The 25,016-nt window shown below is 42.9% G+C and overlaps 1 protein-coding gene and 1 pseudogene across 1 annotated transcript in view; one reads left to right on the plus strand and one right to left on the minus strand.

Annotated features, from left to right (window-relative positions):
• The window catches only part of PSTPIP2 (proline-serine-threonine phosphatase interacting protein 2), an 88,725-nt gene that overhangs the window by 38,809 nt on the left and 24,900 nt on the right, over window positions 1–25,016 (minus strand). Inside the window, exons 2-3 of the mRNA NM_024430.4 lie at window positions 17,603–17,703; window positions 2,265–2,342 (exon numbers count right to left, since the gene is read on the minus strand). Coding sequence (NP_077748.3) covers window positions 2,265–2,342; window positions 17,603–17,703 — 179 coding nt within the window. The remainder of the gene's footprint in view (window positions 1–2,264; window positions 2,343–17,602; window positions 17,704–25,016) is intronic.
• Window positions 5,848–7,488, plus strand: LOC100422497 (UTP18, small subunit (SSU) processome component, homolog (yeast) pseudogene; annotated as a pseudogene).

Raw genomic sequence — 25,016 nt, forward strand, 5'->3', positions numbered from 1 at the left:
AATGTCCTATATGTCCCTATTAGGGCCTCTGAAGGGACACAGACCTCTGCGCATCTCTGAAGCTGTTGATAGCACAGCCAGAGCAGGATACAGGAAAGTATGTTATGTGGTTAGGTCTGGAAAGAGAAAGCCTGACCTCCTTCTCTAAACCCTCCCTCAACATGTTGGGGAAGGAATCTAGAAATTTCCAAATGAGTAGGACTGGCTACATAATTTGTGACTCCTACTGCAAAATGAAAACATGAGACCCCTTGTTTATAAATTATTAAAAATTTCAGAATGGTGATAGCAGGGCATTAAATCAATTATGAAACCCTTCTAAGTGTGAGTTGCCACAGGACACCAGGGAAACCAGCCTTGTGTAAGACGGAGTGTATTGCTAAAGTAGGCACCATGACCTGGTCACTTCTGTATCCTCAATATATTAAATGAATGACTGAAAAATTAAAAATTATGGTACAGAAATCTCACATGGGTTGTGACAATTATGAAATGATGCAAGGAAGACATAGAATTGACCTAAATGCCCATCAATGATAGACTGAATAAAGAAAATGTGGTACATATACACCATGGAACACTACGAAGCCATAAAAAAGAATGAGATCATGTCCTTTGCAGGGACATGGGTGGAGCTGGGGGCCATTATCCTTAGCAAACTAAAACAGAACAGAAAACCAAATACTACATGTTCTCACTTATAAGTGGGGGCTAAATGATGAGAACACATGGACACGTGGAGGGGAACAACACACACTGGTGCCTATCAGAGGGTGGAGGATGGGAAGAGGAAGAGGATCAGGAAAAATAACTAATGGGTACCAGGCTTAATACCTGGGCGATGAAATAATATGTACAACAAATCCCCATAACACATGTTTACCTATATAACAAACCTGCACATATACCCCTAAACTTAAAATAAAAGTTTTTTCGCCGGGCATGGTGGATTACACCTGTAATCCCAGTACTTTGGGAGGCCTAGACAGGTGGATCACCTGAGGTGGGGGGTTCAAGACCAGCCTGACCAGCATGGAGAAACCTCTTCTCTACTAAAATACAAAATTAGCCGGGCATGGAGGCGCATGCCTGTAATCCCAGCTACTTGGTAAGCTGAGGCAGGATAATTGCTGGAACCCGGGAGGCAGAATTTGTGGTCAGCCAAGATCGCGCCATTGCACTCCAGCCTGGGCAACAAGAGCAAAACTCCTTCTCAAAAAGAAAAGTTTTTTTAAAATGGTGCAAAATCTCCTATAGTTATCACAAACAAAAAAATATATGTATAATTTTCTATTTTATATACAATTTTAGATATATAATTTTATAGGTGTTTTACTTAGGATAGATATTATAAAATAATATCAACACAGACCTCTGGGCATCTCTGCTATCAACACTTGCAGAGACGCCCAGAAGTCTATGTCTCTTCAGAGGTCCTAATGGGGACAAATAGGACATTGCCCTTCCTCTTGTCTTCTCTTGCTTTTAAAAAACACACACATACAATACACACACACACATATACACACACAGGAAGCTCTACTATTAAATTTGTAGTATAAATATATATAATATAGCCCTACCTACGAAAAGGTGTACATATAAAAAACTTCAAGAAAAACTTAGAAGGTATTAATAACAGGTTGTGGCTTCATAGTCCACTTTAGCCATTTTTCTGCTTGTCTTGATTTTTCACAATTGAAAATAATAAAAAAAATTATAATTTTTTTCAGGCCAAGTACAGTGACACGCGCCTGTATTCCCAGTGACTTGGACAGCTGAGATGCAAGGATCTTTTTTTTTAATTTTTTGAGACAGAGTCTTGCTCTGACACCCAGGTTAGAATGCTGTGGCACAATCTCTGCTCACTGCAACCTCTGCCTTCTGGGCTCAAACCATCCTCCCACCTCAGTCTCCCAAGTAGCTAGGACTACAGGCATGGGCCACCATGCCTGGCTAATTTTTCTATTTTTAGTAGGGATGGGGTTTTGCCAAGTTGCCTAGGCTGGTCTTGAACTCCTGGGCCCAAGCGATCCACCTGCCTCGGCCTCCCAAAGTGCTGGGGTTAGAGGCATGAGCCACTGCGCCTGACTGAGGATCTTGAGTTTGAGCCCAGCCTGGACAAAATAGTGAGATCCCATCTCCAAAAAAATTTTTTTTTCAGCCAGCATACTTCAACCTCCTGGTAACTCTGTCTGCTGAAGCGAGGGAGCTCCCAGGCATTATTAACCAACCTGGAAACCAGAAAAAAACTTGATACATACTTGATTTCAGACTGTCCACACGGCTTCTTCCTAGAGAGGTTGAGCAGATCTTTGCCATACCTCTCTTCAATTGCTGCCCTAGGGGAACAGAAGAGAGGGTTATGGGTCCTTCTCAGAGCTGACTCTTTGTTAAGACACAATGACCCTCCCTTGGAAAGCAAAACTGCACCTGTGACCATAGAAGCTCAGATACAACACCATTCTCTAAAATGCAAGACTCCCTCTGTATGATAGGGAACAACTGTAAAAAGATCGATGGCCCTCATCTCTATGGTGGTCTTCTCCAGCTGGAAGTCCCTAACATGGACATTATGCGAACATTACAGTAAAACTGAACATTTGTTTAAGTGGAATAAGAAATGCCCAACCCTCCTCCATCTTTTCTAAGAGTGCCCTTTACCATGCTATAGAGCCCTTCATTCACAAGCAATTCAAATACGCAACTAAACTGTACCAAAGGAAGGGGGATTTCAGGAAAGAAACTCTGCAGTCAGCATGCCCTATAAAAACACTGATTGTTACTCAGCATTGCAGGGTCGGTCTCAGCACTAAACATCCTCCTTCCCCTTCCCCTCTCCCCACTGCTTTTTGTCACCATCTCCACTTCTGTCTCAGCCCAGCCTTATATAAACCATACGATTAGGACAGAGTGATTTAGGCTCATCTACCCTACTTTTTTCTTCAGATTTAAAAAAATTATATAAGTAATAAATGAATATATCCTCACGGTAAAAGACTGTAACACCACAAAGGTAGACAGTCTAAAACACGCCAGCACCTTCCCACTCTCTTCCAGCTCCACTGCTCTCCCCAGGGGCAGCCACTGCCAAGGTTAATAGTTAGCTTTCCAGTCCCTTTTCTCTGCATTTACATGCCCATATCTCACATATACACATATGTGTAACTTTCATGTTTATGTAATTGAGATCATTCTATTATTTGCTGTTCTGTTTTTCACCTAGTAACACATCATATAGAATGTTCCTTATCAGCACATAGGGATCCACCACATTCACAATATGGAGTTCTCTGTAGTACAAAGTCTCCTGAGTTATTTCCAGTTTTCACTACCACTAAAAAAAAAAAAAAGAAAGAAAGAAAAGAAAAAAGAAAAAAACCTAAATGAACATCTGAACATCTGTGGACATATATCCACGGGCATCTCTGAGAGTGTCTCACTCTGCCACCCAGGCTGGAGTGCAGTGGCACAATCTCGGCTCACTGCGACCTCCGCCTCCCGGGTTCAAGCGATTCTCCTGCCTCAGCCTCCCATGCAGCTGGGACTACAGGTGTGCGCCACCATGCCGAGCTAATTTTTGTATTTTTAGTGGAGACAAAGTTTCACCATGTTGGCCAGGCTGGTCTCGAACTCCTCACCTCAGGTGATCCACCTGCCTCACCCTTTCAAAGTGCTGGGATTAAAGGCATGAGCCACCACACCCAGCTTGAGAGTGTTTTTCTGAGAGTTCTGAGAAAGTGGATTTACTAGGTCAGGGGAAAGAATGCATTTTAAATTTTTGAAAAATAGTGCCAAAGTGTCCTCCAAAAAAGTCTTCTCAATTTCTACTTCCACAAAAAGTGTACAGGAGCTCCCATTTCCAGGAATGCTGACCCACAGTGGATATAAATAATCTTTTAAAATTGCTACCAGTGTGAGAGGGAGGTTGAAGAAAGGAAGAACTTCTTTTTGAATTTGCATTTCCCTGATTTCTAGTGTGGTTGTGCATCATTTTATACGCTTATTGTTTATTTGCATTTCTTCTTCTGTAAGTTATCATCCAACTTTTTAACTGAGCATTTTGCCTTATTCCTATTAATTTGGTAGAAGTTCTTTATAGACTATGTATATACAACTTATTCTTACATATGTTACAAAGTTTCTCCCATCCTGTCATTTGTCTTTTCTAAATAATGATTTTACCCAATTTATTAAAATGATACATGCTCATTACTCAAAAATAAACATGAAGAAAAGTACAGGCTGGGCATGGGTGCAGTGGCTGATGCCTGTAATCCCAGCACTTTGGGAGGCCAAGACGGGAGTATTGCTTGAGACCACGATTTCAAGAGCAGCCCTGGCAACACAGCAAGACCGCGCCTCTACAAAATTAAATAAATAAATAAATGAAATAAACGGGTGTGGTGGTGCATACCTGTAGTCCCAGCTACTGGGGGAGGATGGGGCAGGAGGATCACTTAAGCCTGGGAGTTCAAGGCTGCAGCGCACTATGATAGGAAGGAAAAGTACAAAGAAGAAAACAAACAACCCAAAATTCCACCAACTAAAACTAATTAGTATTAATATTTGATGATGATTGTAACAGGGATTTCTTTCTGCAGGTATACAAATAGGAAGGATGAACAGATGCATGCAACAAATAATTTTTAAAGAATAAGACCATATGGCCGGGTGCAATGGCTCACACCTGTAATCCCAGTACTTTGGGAGGCCAAGGCGGTGGATCACCTGAGGTCAAGAGTTCGAGACCAGCGTGGCCAACATGGTGAAACCCTGCCTCTACTAAAAATACAAAAAATTAGCCAGGCATGGTGGCGCATGCCTGCAATCCCAGCTACTTGGGAGGCTGAGGCAGGAGAATCGCTTGAACCGGGGAGGCAGAGGTTACAGTGAGCTGAGATCGCACTATTGCACTCCAGCCTGGGCGACAAGAGCAAAACTCCATCTCAAAAATAAATAAATAAATAAATAAATAAATAAATAAATAAATAAATAAAAATATTAAAAAAATTTTTTTTAAAGAATAAGACCATATGCCACATGCCTTTTAAAAATAGCTTGGACTGGTGTTGTGGCTCACACCTATAATCCCAGCACTTTGGGAGGGCAAGGTGGGAGGATCGATTGAGCCCAAGGGTTTGAGACCAGCCTAGGCAGCATGGGAAACCCTGTCTCTACAAAAAAATACAAAAATTAGCTGGGTGTGGTGGCACACATCTGTAGTCCCTGCTACTCAGGAGGCGGAGGTAGGAGGATCACTTGAGCCTGGGAGTTTGAGGCTGCAGTGAACCGTGACTGCGCCACTGCACTCCAGCATGGATGACAAAGTAAGACCCTGTATAAAATAAAATAAAATAAGTAAATAAAAATTGAAATTTTAATCTGATTTTAATTTCACAGAAGAAAAAAAACTGAAGTGAAGCTGAAAGAATTACTAAAATTGAAATAATAGTCTCTTTACCATAGGAAAAATTAGTTCCTCAAAGATCTTTCTGAGGTTAAAAGAAAAAGTTTATGAAAATAAGTAAGAGGGCCGGGCACGGTGGCTCACGTCTGTAATCACAGCACTTTGGGAGGCCAAGGCAGGCGGATCAGTTGAAGACAGGAGTTTGAGACCAGTCTGGCCAACATGGTGAAACCCCATCTCTACTAAAAATATAAAAATTAGCCAGGAGTGGTGGCGCGTGCCTGTAATCCCAGCTACTCAAGAGGCTGAGGCAGAAGAATCGCTTGAACCCGGGAGGCGGAGGTTGCAGTGAGCCAAGATCGCGCCATTGCACTCCAGCCCGGGCGACAGAGTGAGACAGTGTCTCAAAAAGAAAAGAGGCGCGCATGCGCAGTGAGGTTTCACGCGAGCGCCTGCGTTTCTCCTCAAACCTAACGATGCCGCGGGAACTGAGGAGCCGAATGAAACTGCACAGTAGAACCGCAGCGAAGCCGAAGCGTTAGCCCGGAACGAGGGCGGACTGGAAAGCCGGAGCGGGGCCGAGCGAGCCGCCCCAAAAGGCTGCCGCTTCATCCCAGCGAAAACCGCCGGCCAGGCCAAGCGCGGCGAGGGAAGAGGAGAGACGGCTCCGGCAGCGGAACCGCCCGACGCTGGAGAAGACAAACCGGCCGTGGAGTGGTGCCTGGAGGAGCTGGTCTTCGGCGATGTCGAGGACGACGAGGACACGCTGCTGCGGCGTCTGCGGGGTCCGTGGGTTCAAGGACATGAAGACTTGGGAGACTCAGAAGCGGAGAATGAAGCAAAAGGTAATTGTGCACCTCAAAAGAAGCCAATTTGGGTGGATGAAGAAGATGAAGATGAGGAAATGGTTGACATGATGAACAATCGGTTTCGGAAAGATAATGATGAAAAATGCTAGTGAAAGTAAACTTTAGAAAGACAAACTTAAGAAGCGACTTTAAGAAGAATTCCAGCATGCCGTGGGAGGAGTACCTGCCTGGGCAGAGACTAATAAGCTGAAAACAACTTCAGATGATGAAAGTGAAGAGGATGAAGATGCTTTGTTGCAAAGGACTGGGAATTTCATATCCACATCAACTTCTCTTCCAAGAGGAATCCTGAAGATGAAGAACTGCCAGCATGGTAATGCTGAACGTCCTTCTGCTGCTCAGATCTCATCTGTGCAGTTCCGTCCTTGTGCACAGATTGTGATGGTCGCTGGATTAGATAACCTATATCACTATTTCAGGTTGATGGAAGAACAAATCCTAAAATCCAGAGCACCTGTTTGGAAAGGTTTCCAAACTGTAAGGCTTATTTTAGTGCTAATGGGGAAGAAGTTTTAGCCATGAGTACTCACAGCAAGGTTTTTTATGTCTATGACATGCTAGCTGGAAATTAATTCCTGTGCATCAAGTGAGAGGTTTGAAAGAAGATAGTGAGGAGCTTTGAAGATGTCTCCCCAGATGGGTCCTTCTTGCTCATAAATGGCATTGCTGGGTATTTGCATTTGCTATCGATGAAGACCAAAGAACTGATTGGAAGCATGAAAATTAATGGAAGGGTTGCAGCATCCACGTTCTCTTCAGATAGTAAGAAAGTATATGCCTCTTCGGGGATGGAGAAGTTTATGTTTGGGATGTGAACTCAAGGAGGTGCCTTAACAGATTTGTTGATTAAGGCAGTTTATATGGATTAAGCATTGCCACATCTAGGAATGGACAGTTGCTTGTGGTTCTAATTGTGGAGCAGTAAATATAAATAATCAAGATTCTTGTCTCGAAGGAACAAACCCAAAGCCAATGAAAGCTATAATGAACTTGGTTACAGGTGTTAATTCTCTGACATTCAATCCTACTACAGAAATATTGGCAATTGCTTCAGGAAAAATGAAAGAAGCAGTCATTGGTTCATCTTCCTTCCTGTACAGTATTTCAAACTTCCCAGTCATTAAAAAGAAAACTATTTCTCATGTTTACGCCATGGAATTTTCTCTCAGAGGTGGATACTTTGCCTTGGGGAATGAAAAGGGCAAGGCCGGCTGGGCGCGGTGGCTCACACCTGTAATCTCAGAACTTTGGGAGGCCGAGGCGGGTGGATCACCTGAGGTTGGGAGTTCAAGACCAGCCTGACCAACATGGAGAAACCCCATCTCTACTAAAAATACAAAATTGGCCAGGTGTGGTGGCAGGTGCCTGTAATCCCAGCTACTTGGGAGGCTGAGGCAGGAGAATCACCTGAACCCAGGAGGCGGAGGTTGTGGTGAGCTGAGATTGCACCATTGCACTCCAGCCTCCGTGACAAGAACAAGACTCCGACTCAAAAAAAGAAAAGAAAGAAAAGAAAAAGAAAGAAAGAAAAGGGCAAGGCCCTGATTATAGGTTGCACCATTACTCAGACTTCTAAAGAGACTATTTGAAGTCCAGTTGAGTCACAAGAGAAGCCTGTCTTGATATATCGTCTCAGAAACTTTCCTGAATGTGTGATAATATATGGAAAATGGCTTATAGAGCCAGCTGTGCTTAAGAACCAGTAATGTCTTAATAAACATGTGGCAGCTTTTGTTTGAAAAAAAAAAGTAAGAGGATAGAGATATGAAAACATTTTAACAATTTGTTTGTGTTTTTGACCATTTTTAGATGTTTGACAGCATGCCGGAAGTGTTAGATAATGAGCATTGTTGTACTTCCACCTCCTCAATATTGTTTACATTTTGTTTCATTTGTGTATAACATATTCTGTTCTCCAATCATATTTCCCCCAGTTATTTAGTCTGAACTATTTATTACAATGAATTTGAGGCTCAATAATTGTCCTCTTACCACAATTATTCATCCTGAAGATTTTAATTTGGATTCATTTCTTGCTTGACTAAATTTTATCACTACGTAATCTTTTGCCAAAATAGTTCAAGGGTAGGAAGGGGGTTGGTATTCCCTGAGTTCTTTCATATTTGAGACTATTTACCTGTGGACTTTATATTGGACTGACAACCTCACTGGTATAACGAATGTTCTTAAATATTTCCTCAGAACTTGGCTGAACTTGTTCCACTGGCTTCTGTCATTGTACAGAAGCCTGGGGCCATCCCAAATTTCCCCTGATTATTTCTGTATAGACAACTTGTTTTTTCCTTCCTTGATATTTGAAGAATTCTTTATTTAATTCAATAACTTAGCCAGGATGTGTGTTAACATTGATCCTTATGTAATCATAATCAGTATTGATTACTGTGTATCAGAGTTTCCTGGTTCATAGTGTGCCCTTCAGATCTATTTAGTCCTTCCTTTCATGACATTTTTCCTGTATTATATCTCTGAATACTTCCACTATTCCTTTGGGTAAATTTTCTACTTGGGATCAGTTATCCACATGTTGGATTGGCTTTGTTCTTGAGTTATGGGCTCTGGTTCTTTGTTGCTTTTGCCTTGATATATTTCTTCATTCCTTCCTTCTCTCCTTTTTTGGTGGAGGTGCATTTGCATGGCTGTTATGTGATTTGGCTTCATCTTGCTCCTGGTACTGTGGGCAGCCCTATCTGCTTGCTCTGAGACCATGCAAGTGATTTCTCCTTCATGCCTTTCTGGTCTTAGACAGTACTCAGTACTACAGTTTGAGCAAGAAACCTGTTTCTTCTCAGGCCTCTATTCTTCGACTCTACTTCTAAAGATTTTCCAGCTCCTGACAATGTAAAGTGCACCTGAAGCTGACTCTAGTTATAGAAAAAGATGCATCTTAACTCCCTAGTAACTGTTTCTAACTTTCTGAATCTCTGTTCACTGTATCTATATAAAAATGTATAACATGCTACAATGAACATTTAATATTTTTACATGTAAAAAGATGTTCAGTCCATTTTCATTTTTAAAAATATATAATATACAGGCATTTTATCCTTTTAGCCGCAGAATTATATCCATTAAGATTTCTTTAGACTCTTTTGTTGTTTCCAAGATAAGAAGTCACTCACTCAGTTTCTTTCTTGTAAGAGGAAGACATCGTGAATCTAAACATACCATAGGCCACATCTTGTTCCCCATGAAACAAGATGTTCTCCTAGAACCCGGGAAGTAATGAGTTCCAGCAAGCATCATGGTGTGCTTTTTGGAGAAAAGAAGGAGCTTTAATGGAAGTGAAACTAGAATCTCAGCCTCATAAAACCAGGGAACAACCACTGAGGTTGAGAGGGTATTTCCCCGTAAATGGGAAGCAATGGGTCCAGGCAGGCAATGAAGGAATTACTAGAACATCACATAAATCACGCTTGAATAAGTAGGCCTTTAACTAGATCACCCTCCTACTACCTATCTGAATTTTTCTGTCTCATCTGATCATCAATTTGTCATTTACTGAACATCCACCATGTGCCAGGCATCGTACTAGGTGCTAAGAACACAGAGATGACTGAAATATGAGACCTGCCTAGTGGTGCTCATAATCTAGCAGAGGAGAGAGATGCAAACCAATATTTTAGTTTACTACCATGTAACAAGGGCCAGATGAAAATGTACAAAATAGTACAGGAAACAGAAGAGGCAATACCACACCTCTTGCACTTAGCTGGCTACGCTTCACAAAGCTCTCCTTAAAAACCCCAACTCCCTTTGACCTCGCTTCTATCCAAATTCCCAGACCAGGAATAATCCATGTGCCATTTTCCCTTCAGCAACCCATGACAGGCTGGGTGCCGTGGCTCACATCTGTAATCCCAGCACTTTGGGAGGCTGAGGTGGGCAGATCACCTGAGGTCAAGAGTTCGAGACTACCCTGGCTAAAATGGTGAAACCCCATTTCTACTAAAAATACAAAAAATTAGCTGGTATGGTAGTGTGCACCTGTCATCCCAGCTACTCAGGAGGCTGAAGCAGGAGAATCACTTGAACCCAGGAGGCAGAGGTTGCAGTGAGCCGAGATCATGCCATTGCACTCTAGCTTAGGCAATAAGAGCAAAACTCTGTGTCAAAAAAAAAAAAAAAAAAAAAGGAAAAGAAAAAAGAAAAGGAAAGAAAAGAAAAACAACCCATGACAAACATCATCAGATATGGCCTTTTCCATCAGGTCTGAAAGCAGCCTCAGGATGATCCTCAATCTAGTGCTCCAGGTTGCCCCAAAATCAGAGTGAACTGAAAAGATGAAATCCTTTTGCCATAAAACCTAACACTTAAATATTTTGCTCAATTTTACTGTATATGCCATTCACAGCACCTCAACTGAATGATAAGTTCCTTGGGAAGACCCATGTTATTAGATCCAAGGGGCTCTCACAGAACATCTCATACAATCCAAATTTTATGGCTAACGAAACTGGAACCTAGAAAGGTCTAGGGCCTTGAATAATATCAGCACTGGCCAGTGAGGAAGCCAGGATTAGAAGGCCACCCAGGTGTCTAAACTCCCATCCCGATACTCTATTTCCCATGATGCTCTCAGCTTCCAGTACATTCTTTTGGGCACAGGTGTTCCTCCCGCAAAATAGGTTGCAGTCTCAACCCCCAGCATCTTAGACTGTGACCTTATTTGGAAATAGGGTCATTGCAGACGTAATTGTTGAGATAAGGTCATACTGGAGTAGGGTGGCCTCTTAATCCAACATGACTAGTGTCCTTATAAGAAGACAATGTGGGCTGGGCATGGTAGCTCACACCTATAATCCCAGCACTTTGGGAGGCCAAGGCAGGTGGATCAGCTGAGGTGAGGAGTTCAAGACCAGCCTGGTCAACATGGTGAAACCCGGTCTCTACTAAAAGTACAAAAATTAGCTGGGTGTAGTGGTGCACGTCTGTAGTCCCAGGTACTTAGGAGGCTGAGGCAGGAGAATCGCTTGAACCTGGGAGGTGGAGGTTGCAGTGAGCTGAGATCATGCCACTGAACTCCAGCCTGGGGGACAGAGTGAGACTCCATCTCGAAAAAAAAAAAAAAAAAAGACAATGTGAAGACACAGGGGAACAACACCACAGGATGATAGAGGAAGAGATGGGAGTTACACAGCTGCAAGCCAGGACATGCCAAGGATTGCTGATGACACCAAAAACCAAGAGAAAGGAATGGGACACCTTCTCCAATAAAGTCTTCAAGACAGCATGATTCTGCCAACATCTTGATTTGGGACTTCTGGCCTATGGACTTGTGAGAGAATAAATTCTGTTATTTAAAGCCATTCAGTTAGAGGCAATTTGTCCCAACAGTCCTAAAAAACTAATATGGTACATAATGGCTTGACAACTTGACCAGCTAATGCACGAAGGGAATCTGTCATTCCCACCCTGGCAATCTGTCCTTCTTAAGGCTGTCCTGAGACATAGCCGACCACAGTGAGGGTCCCGGAAACAGAGCTGTAGCCAGGGCAGGTTGACCATGGGACGTACAGGAGCTTATGGGGAAGAGTACAGAGTCCTGAGGCACCGGGGCTGTGGATCCCCTAGAGTATAGGTATAGCTGCTAATCTACAAATGGTAAAGAATTCTGGGCATAAAGGTGTTCCACAAGCATGCTTCCCTCCTCCCTACTCAGGATCCTATTGCAGCACACAATTAAGAGAACTGACTTGGCTGCCAAGTTGCTGTTCTTCTTCGGAGAATACACCCAACTTTCTCAAGAGACCATTAAGTAAAGTGGAAAAACCATCAGACAGGAAGTCAGCAGGAATCCCAGCTTTACTACTTACTCATATTGTAATCTTGGGCAAGTCATTTAAAGCCCACTAAACTTCAGTGTTCTTATCTGTAAAAGGAAGCCAATGATATATTCCTTACTTGCCTTCTACACTTAATATAACAATATTAGTAATGGTTGTGGAACTTGCCTAAGATCAGTGGGTACCATTTACCCACTATATATTGTGTACCAGCTACTGTACTGGGCACAGTGTACTGGTTAATAGCAGATTCCAGGGCCCAAATTTTCTAGGTTTGAAACCGTATCTACCGCTTATTAGCTGTCTGAACTTAGGCAAGTTCCATAGCCTCTCTGAACCTCAATTTCTTCAATTATAACATAAGGATGAGAAAACTTACCATACAGAGTTTTTATGAGAATTAAATAATATATACAAAACACACTGTAGCTTGCATAGAGTAAGCCTTCAATAAACAGCAGCTATTAATATAATCTCATTTAATCATCTCTAGCTACCCTCTAAGGTATGATTAACCCTATTTTTATAGTTCTCATTTTCTGCTCATATCAGGAGCTCATTATATAATATTTCGCCACATCTGGGGATCTGAGGGTGGGAGAGTCCATGGGCTTGGGCTACCAGTGACAAGATGGCTTCATTTCAATTGTTAACCAGCTGAAAGACTTCAGACTAAAGTCCTATGTAGAATGTTTCCTTTAAAGAGAAATAAGGTCGGGCATGGTGGCTCACACCTGTAATCCCAGCACCTTGGGAGGCTGAGGTGGGCTGGATCACTTGAGACCAAGAGTTCAAGACCAGCCTGTGGCCAGGAAAAACCCCATCTTTACTAAAATTACAAAAATTAGCTGGGGTGGTGGTACATGCCTGTAATCCCAGCTACTCGGGAGGCTTAGGTGTGAGAATTGTCTGAACCCGGGAGACGGAGGTTGAAGTGAGCTGAGATCGCACCACTGTACTCTAGCCTGGATGACAGAGTGAGACTCTGTCTTAAAAAAAAAAAAAGAAAAGAGAGAGAGAGAGAAATAAAAGAAGAGGAAAATTTGACCTGGACTTGGAAGGATGGGGAGAATTTACTTAGGCATCAGGGAAAAAGGAGGACTTTCTAGGTGGGGAAATACTGAAGTAAAGACGTACAGGCAGAGACATCCAAAGCGTGCTCACCAATAAACCCATCTGGCTGAAATAGAGAGAATGGGTATAATGAGTGAGATTGTATAAACAGACAGTAAAGAAAGGGAGAGTGTGTCTGTGCTGGGAAGTAGCCCATCTCCCTAGATAGCCACCAGCCTTTTTGCCAGTGTTGATGAGTCATAAACACAGGGGTTGTATGAGACCCCCATCCTCACCAGCCCCTGGAGCCATTCTGGGTTCTGTCACTTTCTAGATTCCCCTGGTAAATTACTTAAACCTCATCTACAAAGCTACACTTCTGTGCCAAGAAACCTCATGCAGCCAACATAAGTGCCAAAGGGATGTGTAAGCCTCAATGTTGTTGTTATATTATGTAGCTATTCAGATGTTGGCTGTGGTTGCCAGCATCACCTCTATTATTGTTGTGCTTTTCCAGCTGACAGAAGGGTAAACTAGATAAATTTACAATTTACTGATGGAGTGTTTGTTACTGTGTTTTGTTACTTACAGTATTATTTAATTATTATATATTATCTGTATTAATTAATTTAATTAATATCATTTTATTTAATTAATATTAATTAATATTATAATATTAATTGTTAATGTGTTATAATATTGATTGTAACAATTAATTGTAGTAGTTATGAACAATTATTGTAACAATGTAGTAGTTATAAACAATTATTGTAACAATTAATTGTTAACAATTATTAATTATTATTGTAACAATTAGTTGTTACAATAACTGTTCTCATCCTTATGTTACAATTGAAGAAACTGAGGTTCAGAGAGATTATGGCATTTGCCTAAGGTCAGACAGCTAATAAGGAGTAATATGGTTTGAAACCTAGGAAAGCTGGGCCTTGGAATCTGCCCTATGTATCTAGCAAGCCTTCAATAAACATCAGCTATTATATAATCTCATTTAACCACCTCTAGCTACCCTCTGAGCTAACCTTATTTTTATATGTCTACCCTGGATGCAAGAATCTGCCCTGTGGGTGGCAAGAAAGGCAGCCTCCCTGCCCTTCCAGAGCAGCACACGGAGCGGCTCCTTGCACTGGGGTGATTGTTCTGTCCAACCCCACATGAGGGCAGATGAATTTACTGCAATCTGCCTGGGTACGACCAAGGAAAAGGATATTTCCTAGTTTCGGTAATGGAGGTAAAATGTGGCATGGAGGGGTGCAGTGCTGGGTTCCATCCAGGGAAGAGCAGGGCTGGGGAGCTCACCAGGAAGTATAGCATCTCCCTCTTCCCCTTGCCACTTTCTGGGCAGGTTAAACTGACAGAAATTCAAGAGGCCCATGGTAGGACTCTGACACTTCTGGAAAGTCTTAAAAGCACCCCATTAGATATAGGGCATGTTTAGCATGTACCATGTAAAAGTGGTATAAATGTATGTGTATTAAACTTGATGAACTCAAAATAATAAATAAGGTATAACATTGGACAAGAGGTGGTTGTTCAAAAATAATTATTACATACAATAGTCTGTTATCTTTGCCCCTGTATTTGTGTGTGTTTGCCTCTTGTCTCTAAGAACCACAAATATCCCAGAGTTGTACATGTAATTTTTGTTTGTTTGTTTTTTGTTTTTGTTTTGAGACGGAGTTTCACTCTTGTTGCCCAGGCTGGAGTGCAATGGCGAGATCTCAGCTCACTGCAACATCCGCCTCCCGGGTTCAAGTAATTCTCCTGCCTCAGCCTCCCGAGTAGCTGGGATTACAGCTACACCATGCCCAGCTAATTTTGCATTTTTAGTAGAGATGGGGTTTCTCCATGTTGGTCAGGCTGGTCTCAAACTCTCGACCTCAGGTGATCTGCCTGCCTCGGCCTCCCAAAGTTCTGGGATTACAGGTGTGAGCCACCACGCCCTGCCTCTACATGTAATTTATGACAGCTCGGTCAAATAATGTTTAAGACTCAAGGAGGATGTTTCAGTCATATTAGATGATGGCACAAATGCAGCCAACTTAGTCCCAGTTCCCACAAGCATCCTGCACCCACCCGAACAAGAGGAAAGCTGGATCCCCAAGCCTGGACTGTCCTTCTGCACATGAATTACCCTTGAACAAGACACATTGGAGGAACAAACACACAGGCTCAATGACAGCAGCTTCCTTCCTGCAAGCGTGCCACCAGGAACAGAGGCCCAAAGCCAAGCAGGCCACACGCTCAGGGGCTGCATCTCCACGCCCAGGGCATGCCCATCTGACACTCTGATCTAATGCCTGCAGATTCTTCCCCAGAATTGGAAAACACAAGACTGACTTCTTTTTGCTATAAAACCCATGGGAGAAAAGAGAACATATACTAGAAATACAATATAAATAATCAACAATTTTTATTCTCCATTTATTTCCTACTCTTATGTATTTTTGTGAATCGTTTTTAAAAGCGAGATCTTAGCTTTGGGATCCTATTTGGACTAGCGTTTTTCAACTGTGGGTCACGACCCATTTGTGAGCCATAAATCAATTCAGTGGATTATGACCAGCAATTTTTTTTTGAAAGACAGGATCTCACTCTGTCACCCAGGCTAGAGGGCAGTGGTGCAATCAGAGCTCACTGCAACCTTGAACTCCTGGGCTAAGTGATCCCCCGACCTCAGCCTCCTGAATAGCTGGAAGACTAGCATTTTTAAATTAAATACTATTGGATAAATTAACAGGGTAGTCCTGTTTCATTGTTTTATTTATGCATGTGTGTACTGGGTGGCTGTGTAAAATACATTTTTTTTGAGGGTCACATTCAAAAAAGTATGGAAGCCACTGATTTAGACAAACCCCACTGTATCAGGGGACCCTTGGATGGCCCCCCAGGCAGTCAGTGCCTGGGGTCCTGAGCCGACAGACACTTCCTTCCTCTGCAGATGTATTCCAAGGCCATTTCATTCCCAGGAGGAAATTTATAGAAGCCATAACTGGGGGAGGAACAGAAAAAAGCAGTCTTCTGCAATCTCTAGATCCTTCATGCTCATGAAACTCTTTGTCCTAGCACTGTTGAAGGAAGGAGGAAGCCCACTGCCAGTGTTTGTAAAAAGAAAGGCACACTTTTTAACTGGGTGTCAACACTGTCAACCATCTTGGGTAGAAAAGAAGGGAACTGCTCCCTTAAAGGAGGAGGAGCAGCAGCCAGCTCCACAGCGCTGACAGTAGCCGAGCCTCTCTTGGTTCACCCGTCCTCAGGCCTCCAGGTCCTCCAGACCTTTGGAATGGCTCAAGGAGACAGGCCTCACCACCCAAGGGCTGGGCAACCCTTGGTTGCTGTCATAATTTACATGTAGAGGCAGGGCGTGGTGGCTCACACCTGTAATCCCAGAACTTTGGGAGGCCGAGGCAGGCAGATCACCTGAGGTCGAGAGTTTGAGACCAGCCTGACCAACATGGAGAAACCCCATCTCTACTAAAAATGCAAAGTGTGAGTAAGTTTGATCGTTACCTAATTTTCTCTTGAGTAGAAAGTGAGAGAGTTGACCGAAAATGCTTTGATGTCTGTATCTCTGGGTTCTGAGCCTTTCACTTACTGCCTTACAAATAGAACCTGTTCATTAATTTGAATCTTGGCAAGGATCCTGATCTTTGGCCCCAAATCCTCTTAACATATTCTTTCATCCAGAACCTCTGTAAAATGGAATATTCTAGATCAATAAGTTTCCACAAAACTAAGTTTTGTTTTTTTAAAAATCTTATCCATTTTTAAACAGAAGAAAAGAAAATCCTCTAAACCATGCCAGTTCCCCATGGACTACCATGCCCTGCCACCCCCAGGAGCATCATGATCGGCTTCACAGCTTTCCCACAGCTCCTCATCCTCCTGGTCTCTGAGCTGCACTCTGCCTCCCTCTAACCACGTGGGCCATCTGATTCCCACCTCAAGCTTGCTGTTCTCCCAGATATCCAGGTACTTCTTCACCTGTCAAATCCACCTCACCCTCTGAGGGCCACCACAAGGACCTACTCCTCCATGAAGCCACCCCGTCCTCTATTTTATTTCCTTCTTTCTTTCCCTCCCTCCCTCTCTCCTTCCTTTTTCCTTCCCTCTCCTTTCCTTCTTTGCCAATCCTCAGCAGTCTCTTCCTCAGCAGTCTAAAAGCTACATCATGGGGTCTTTCAATGTTATTTGTACCACAGTACTAAGTGTATTTCTTTTCTTACTATAATTCGTTCGCAGTTTCATCATAAATCTTATGTGTCAAACTTGTTTCTAAGAACTTTAGGACAGAAGTATCATGTACTTCTCAGGTATCATTCCATAACCTAGAGCAGAGAGAGGGTCTTCAGAACCATTAAACACAAATGAAAAAAAGGAAATTGTTCCTTGTCTGTGTGGAGACATCTTGGCCCACCCTCTTCAGAGAGGACAGAGCATCATCGTACCTTTCTTTTAGAAAGTCTTCAAACTCTTTGCAGTTCTTGCGGCCATTGTTCAGATGTTGGATAATGTTGTCATAGCCGATGGTGCTGAGGATGTCTGCACTCTGGGGGAAAGACAACATGGCATCAGACCAGGAACAGAAGGCAGCCCCCAAGGCCGGAGAGAAGATAAGACAAAAGAGGTGGGAAGCTGGCCACGGAACGTTGCTGACTCACTTTGAGATGGCGCAGGGACCCACTTAGGAGCCTGTCAGGCTTCTCCACCCCCACCCTGGAGATGAAAGAACATGTTTCAGTTCCTTCAAGGAAAATTCCAGGTATCTAGCTAGCCCTGCAACCAGAAATTAGGGATGTGAATGAATAATCCACCAACCAAGCCACCCAAGTAAGTCAGGGTCACAAGATGTTTGGTTCCCTATAGAAACAAAGATAACATCTTTACATACATCCTTGAGTTGTTTTTCAGAAACCAGGACTCTCACCTGATAACAAATGCTGATCACAGTCATGTTGACCTTCGACAGACTGGAACCAGAAAATGGATAAGGAAGTTCCACAAATTCCTAAGCCCCTAACTCACTTTGGAAACCCCCTCATTCCTGCCTTTAAAAACCCTTGCTTGTAAGCCATCATGCCCCTTTTCCTTGCTTGGTGCCCTGCAATAAATGCCTTTCTTTCTGTAACTGCAAACATTTGTGTCAGTGTTGGGCTTTGCTGTGCCCAGTGAGCAGACCCAAGTTCAGTAGGGTAACACTTTACCTCCAAGACACAGGTAGCTAAGAAGAACAATGGAAGAAGTAAGAACACATGTAGTGTGAAAGAGTTTTTTAATTGATGAGACTGAAGGGCCACAAAACAGGAAGTGACAGACAAATCACAGGCACGTGGATGAGGGAGCTGGCTAGGCTGAGGTCCCTCTATGGATCCTCTACTGAAGCCCAAATTCAGGCCAGGAGAGGGAGAAGGAGCTGGGCGCCCACTCCAGCCTTCTGTCATGTGCTTCCTCATACTGCCGGATGGAAACTGACTCACGCTACAGGACCATGTAACCTGGTGCTATAAAATTTTTACTCTGTCCTTAAACTTGCCACTGAACTTGACCCTGATAGCTCTTCCTACCACCAGTTAGCGCTATTGAGGGTCAAGGGTATCTCTACAAAAGACAAGCAGCTCTGAGCCAGAAGCCAGGAACCAGGATTCAGGAGTGGGAGAATGGGGCTGTCTGTCCACTGGGAAGCATGAAACATGCTCTCCGTGGTCACTGGCCCCAATTAGGGGAGAAGGAATATATATATATGTTATGTTTTGTTTTGTTCTGTTTTGATACAGGGTCTCACTCTGTCACCCAGGCTAGAGTGCAGTGGCACGATCTTGGCTCACTGCAACCCCACCTCCTGGGCTCAAGTGATCCTCCTGCCTCAGCCTCCTGAGTAGCTGGGACTACAGGGACATGCCACCATACCCAGCTATTTTTTGTATTTTTAGTAAAGGTGAGGGTCTCGCCATGTTGCCCAGTCTGGTCTCGAACTCCTGACCTCAAGCAATCTGCCCACCTTGGCCTCCCAAAGTGCCAGGCGTGAGCCACCATGCCTGGCCAAATTTTTAAATTAGCAGTTTATTTATATTTTATTCTACTGTGCTCTCCAAGGTTGGAGGGACCAGGCTAAGTCCCCCAAACCAGTAGCCTCAGATGCAGTACATTTTAAAAATCAAGCCAACAAGTCCCCAAACCAACAAATCAGTCCACTAAATAACACTCCAAAGTGTCCCCTAAGGAGGCTGGTTCCCTCCTTTCTACCCCTGAATGCATACAATGGGTTGTCTGATTCAGACTATAGTCCCTAAGAGGTTGGTTAGCTGGCCTCTGGATGTGCCCTGGGGAGTTTTGAACTCATCCACGCCATCCCAGCCAAAGCAGACCAACTCTTCCCAGCGCCAGTTTGCAGAAGGAAGTGTAGCTCTGTATGGGATAAGGGGTTTCTAAAGATACCTCTCTACCCAGCCCTGGACACTGGAGAAGCAGAATTTCTCTCTTCCATTTGCTGCCACTTATGATGGCCTAGTTGAGCAGACAGCAGTCCCAGAAAGACCCAGCAGGACCCAGGCCTGGGGCTGATTTCAACTTGGCACCCTAACAAGCCATTTCACCTTGCACTTTTCAAATGGACCTATAAAATCATCAAAACTTTTACAAGTTACGAATCTAAGTTAGAAATGTTTAATTCTATGCTTTGTGACAGTTGTTTGAGCACAAATTTAGACCTTAGAAAGCCCAAAAAACAGCTTCCACCAAAGCCTCATTTGTCCACTGGCCTCCTCCATACATACCCCTCTGTCTTAGCCAGGAAGGCATCTAACTGCCCCTGAAATGAAGCTCTCAGCAGCAGCTCTAAGATGATGCTAACATTATCCTCTCCTGAATCCAGATCTAGCCCCTCAATTCCCAGGTTTTCCCGAAGTCTTCTCTGAGTAGCCCCAATTCTCCCTTCTCTAGGTTCTCAGAGTCCCCAGCATCTGAATTTGTTTGCTATTATGCCTGTGAATACCTTTCTGTCCCCACTCCACTGCAAGTGCTTGCAGCTTCTTTCAAGTTTTGAACTACCCCTGCATCCCCTCCCAAAAAATCTTATTATTCACATCAAAGGCCTACAGTAAAATTCTGGAGAATGAAAAGGCCTATTGTGCTTGCTGCCAGATGCATTAGAAGAGAACAATGAAAACAGATTCCTGAGTGATGAATGAATGGGTACCAAATGGTCAGTGTCAAAACCGGTTTGTAGACAGGAGTCTTTGCCCTTCCCAGAGAAAGACACTGGAGGATGTCTTGGTGCATCGTGCAGCCCTTTTTCTTGGCCCTCCTATTCTTATTTTTGTCAGTCAACTTACCACCTGTGTTCTCTGAGTAACATACACAGGAGTTTCCAGACAAGTCCTCCACCACTTTAACTTGGCCTTCAGCACTCTTTGTTTTCTCCTGGGTATTTCCTTTCTTGGTTGCCTCTGTAGTCCAGCCACTCCTCTGAAGCAGCAATTCTGGGTTTTTTAAAGGCTGGCAGCTGGGAGGTCTGTGGTTTTGGTTTGTGTTTCCAGGAAACTCTGGCCTAGTTCCACCCGTGCAGTCCCACTCAAAGAGTTTCCTCATCCTTAATTAAGAAAAAGGGGCCAGGTGTGGTGGCTCATGCCTGTAATCCCAGCACTTTGGGAGGCCGAGGCGGGAGGATCGCTTGAGCTCAGAAGTTCAAGACCAGCCTGGGCAACATAGCGAAACCTCACCTCTCCTTAAAAAAAAAAAAAAAAAAAAAAGCCAAGTATGGTGGTGTGCCTGTAGTCCCAGCTACTTGGGAGGCTAAGGCGGAAGGATTGATTGAGCCTGGGAGATCGAGGCTGCAGTGAGCCACGTTCATGCCAGTGCACTCCAGCGTGGGTGACAGAGTGAGCCCCTGTCTCAAAATGAAAAAAAAAAAGAAAAGAAAAGAGGAATCTCAACGCAGAAAAAGGATTTGAAAGACTTCAATACCACCTCACAATAGAAAATCAACAAATCATTAAGAGAATGGAATGTCCTCAATCTGACAAATAGTATCTACAAAAAGCCTCAGCTAACAGCCTATTTAAGGTGAAACACAGAATACTTCCTTCCTAAGATCAGGAACAAGGCAACGATGTCTGCTCTCACTACTTCTATTCAACACACTGAATGTCCTAGCCAGTGCTAGGCAAGAAAAAGAAATAAAGAACATACATATTGGAAAGGAAAAAGTAAAACTGCCTTATTTGTAGACAACATGATTATGGACATAGAAAATTCTAAGAAGTTTACAAAAAAGTTACTAAAACTAGTCAGTTTAACAAAGTTGCAGGACACAAGGTCAATATACAAAAATCTATTGTATTTCTATATACCGGTGGAAAAAAAGGAAAGAAAAAAATGTAAACATTTATTTATATTAGCATTAAAAAGATAAACTATACAGGGATAACACAAGAAGTTTTGCAAGATTTCTTCACTGAAAATTACAAAAGGTACAGCTAAAAGAAATGGAAGAAGACCTAAATAAAAGTAGGTATATACCATGTTTGTGGATTGAAGGAGTGAATATTGTTAAAATATCAATTTCCCCAAATTGATCTATAGATCCAAAACAATCCCATCAAAATCCTGAAAGTCTTTTCTGTAGAAATTTGCAAGTCAGACCTAAAATTTATAAAGAATTACTTTAAAGTTCACATGGAAACAAAAAAGAGTCTGCATCACCAAGTCAATCCTAAGCCAAAAGAACAAAGCTGGAGGCATCACGCTACCTGACTTCAAACTATACTACAAGGCTACAGTAACCAAAACAGCATGGTACTGGTACCAAAACAGTTATAGATCAACGGAACAGAACAGAGCCCTCAGAAATAACACTGCATATCTACAACTATCTGATCTTTGACAAACCTGAGAAAAACAAGCAATGGGGAAAGGATTCCCTATTTAATAAATGGTGCTGGGAAAACTGGCTAGCCATATGTAGAAAGGTGAAACTGGATCCCTTCCTTACACCTTATACAAAAATTAATTCAAGATGGATTAAAGACTTAAACATCAGACCTAAAACCATAAAAACCCTAGAAGAAAACCTAGGCATTACCATTCAGGACATAGGCATGGGCAAGGACTTCATGTCTAAAACACTAAAAACAATGGCAACAAAAGCCAAAATTGACAAATGGGATCTAATTCAACTAAAGAGCTTCTGCACAGCAAAAGAAACTACCATCAGAGTGAACAGGCAACCTACAAAATGGGAGAAAATTTTCGCAACCTACCCATCTGACAAAGGGCTAATATCCAGAATCTACAATGAACTCAAACAAATTTACAAGAAAAAAACAAACAACCCCATCAAAAAGTGGGTGAAGGACATGAACAGATACTTCTCAAAAGAAGGCATTTATGCAGCCAAAAAACACATGAAAAAATGCTCACCATCACTGGCCATCAGAGAAATGCAAATCAAAACCACAATGAGATACCATCTCACACCAGTTAGAATGGCAATCTTTAAAAAGTCAGGAAACAACAGGTGTTGGAGAGGATGTGGAGAAATAGGAACATTTTTACACTGTTGGTGGGACTGTAAACTAGTTCAACCCTTGTGGAAGTCAGTGTGGCGATTCCTCAGGGATCTAGAACTAGAAATACCATTTGACCCAGCCATCCCATTACTGGGTATATACCCAAAGGACTATATAAATCATGCTGCTATAAAGACACATGCACACGTATGTTTATTGCGGCACTATTCACAATAGCAAAGACTTGGAACCAACCCAAATGTCCAACAATGACAGACTGGATTAAGAAAATGTGGCACATATACACCATGGAATACTATGCTGCCATAAAAAATGATGAGTTCACGTTCTTTGTAGGAACATGGATGAAATTGGAAATCATCATTCTCAGTAAACTATCGTAAGAACAAAAAACCAAACACCACATATTGTCACTCACAGGTGGGAATTGAACAATGAGAACACATGGACACAGGAGGGGGAACATCACACTCTGGGGACTGTTGTGGGGTAGGGGGAGGGGGAAGGGATAGCTTTAGGAGATATACCTAATGCTAAATGATGAGTTAATAGGTGCAGCACACCAGCATGTCACATGTATACATATGTAACTAACCTGCACATTGTGCACATGTACCCTAAAACTTAAAGTATAACAATAATAAAGTAAATAAATAAATAAATAAATAAATAATTACCAAGGGCCTAGAATAGACAAAAGAAAAAAACATTTTTTTAAAGAAAAACAAAGTTGGAGGACTCATACCACCTGACTTTGAAACTTTTTTTGACCCAGGCATGGTGGTGCACACCCACACCTGTAGTCCCAGCTCCTCAGGAGGCTGAAGAAGGAGACTCACTTGAGCCCAGGAGGTTGAGGCTGTAGTGAGCTTTGCATCACTGCACTCCAACCTGGATGACAGAGCAAGCGCCTGCTTCAACAACAACAAAAAACCAACTTCTTTTGAAGCTACGGTAATTGAAACAGTATGTACCTTTCTGAGGATAGACAAACAGACCAACAGAACAGAATAGAATGCAGAAATAGACTCACTTATATATGGTCAACTGACTTTCAACAAAGTTGCCAAAGCTATTCAATGGGAAAATGGTAATCTTTCCAACAAATGGCTCTGGAATAACTGCATAAACTTGGTGGGGGGAAAAGCCTCTACTCATTCCATGCTGCAGGGCCTCTGAGAACTTATTTCTATGCTCCTTTTCACCTCTTCTATCCTCCTATGGCCTCTGGGCAGAAGCGTAAGGAGCAGAGGGGAAGCAAACAGCACCCGCAGTCTCCAAAGCCACCAACAGGGTTACGGGTCCCGCTGCTGAGCATCCGCACATCTAGTTCTGTGCTGCATCTCCAGCCCGTTCCTCTCATGATGTCTGCTATACAGCCTCTATAGACATGGGCTCCAGGGATCAGCAGGCTAGAATCACTCAGGCAGCTTGTTAAACATGCAGACCCCTCAGTCCCACCCCAGCCCTGCTAATTCTGAACCTGGAGTGGGGCATGGCAGTCTCTACCCTTCTATACACCTTCCAAGTGACTTGGAATGCAGTTTGACAATTGTGGCCATACAAAATATAAAAGGCTAAAAGAACCATCATGGTTCCTGCCTAGAGGAGCTTATAAGAAGAAGAAAGCAGGATGCAGGCCTGTGAAAATAAAGAACACTAGAGAATGGGGAGGTGAGAGAATGACTGTCAGAAGTGCAAAGAAGAGGCCAGAGAAGACCCTCCATGGTTTGCATTTCATTGTTTAAAAAACCTCCAATCTTGAGTAAAACATGCAAGTTGGCAATGATGGCTTTTGGAAGCCCAGAGAGCCCCACTAGAACAGGGAGGAGGCCAGTTACTTTGCATCTCATACAAAGGCTGCAGTTTGGTGCCTGGGCACAGGGTGCATAAGTGCGCTGCACTTTGCATTAAAGAACCACAACATGTTCCACAAACACAGTGAGACAGAAGCTCTTTCTATGTTTTACAGGTGGAGGAAACAAGGCACTAGGAAGCTTTCCTTATTCGCTTTCCTTGTCACTGCTTCCAACCACTATGAAAAATTTTAATTCTCAACTAACAATATTATCCAAATCTCTCAGTTATTTATTAAGAGCCATAAAACAGCAGACTTGGGATAAAGACTATGAAGTTCATGTTACCTCCCTATGCTGTCAACCTTGATCTTTCTTTCCTGTTTACTTACCACTCTATGAGGTACAACCAAACGGATCAAATTCTGCATATATGGATTATTATTAATTAATATTAATAATTATGTCCAGGGTTAGGTGCGGTGGCTCATACCTGTAATCTCAGCAGTTCGGGAGGCCAAGGCGGGCAGATCATAAGG

Source organism: Homo sapiens, chromosome 18 (genome assembly GCF_000001405.40).
Source record: "Homo sapiens chromosome 18, GRCh38.p14 Primary Assembly".
Classification (NCBI taxonomy): Eukaryota; Metazoa; Chordata; class Mammalia; order Primates; family Hominidae; genus Homo; species Homo sapiens.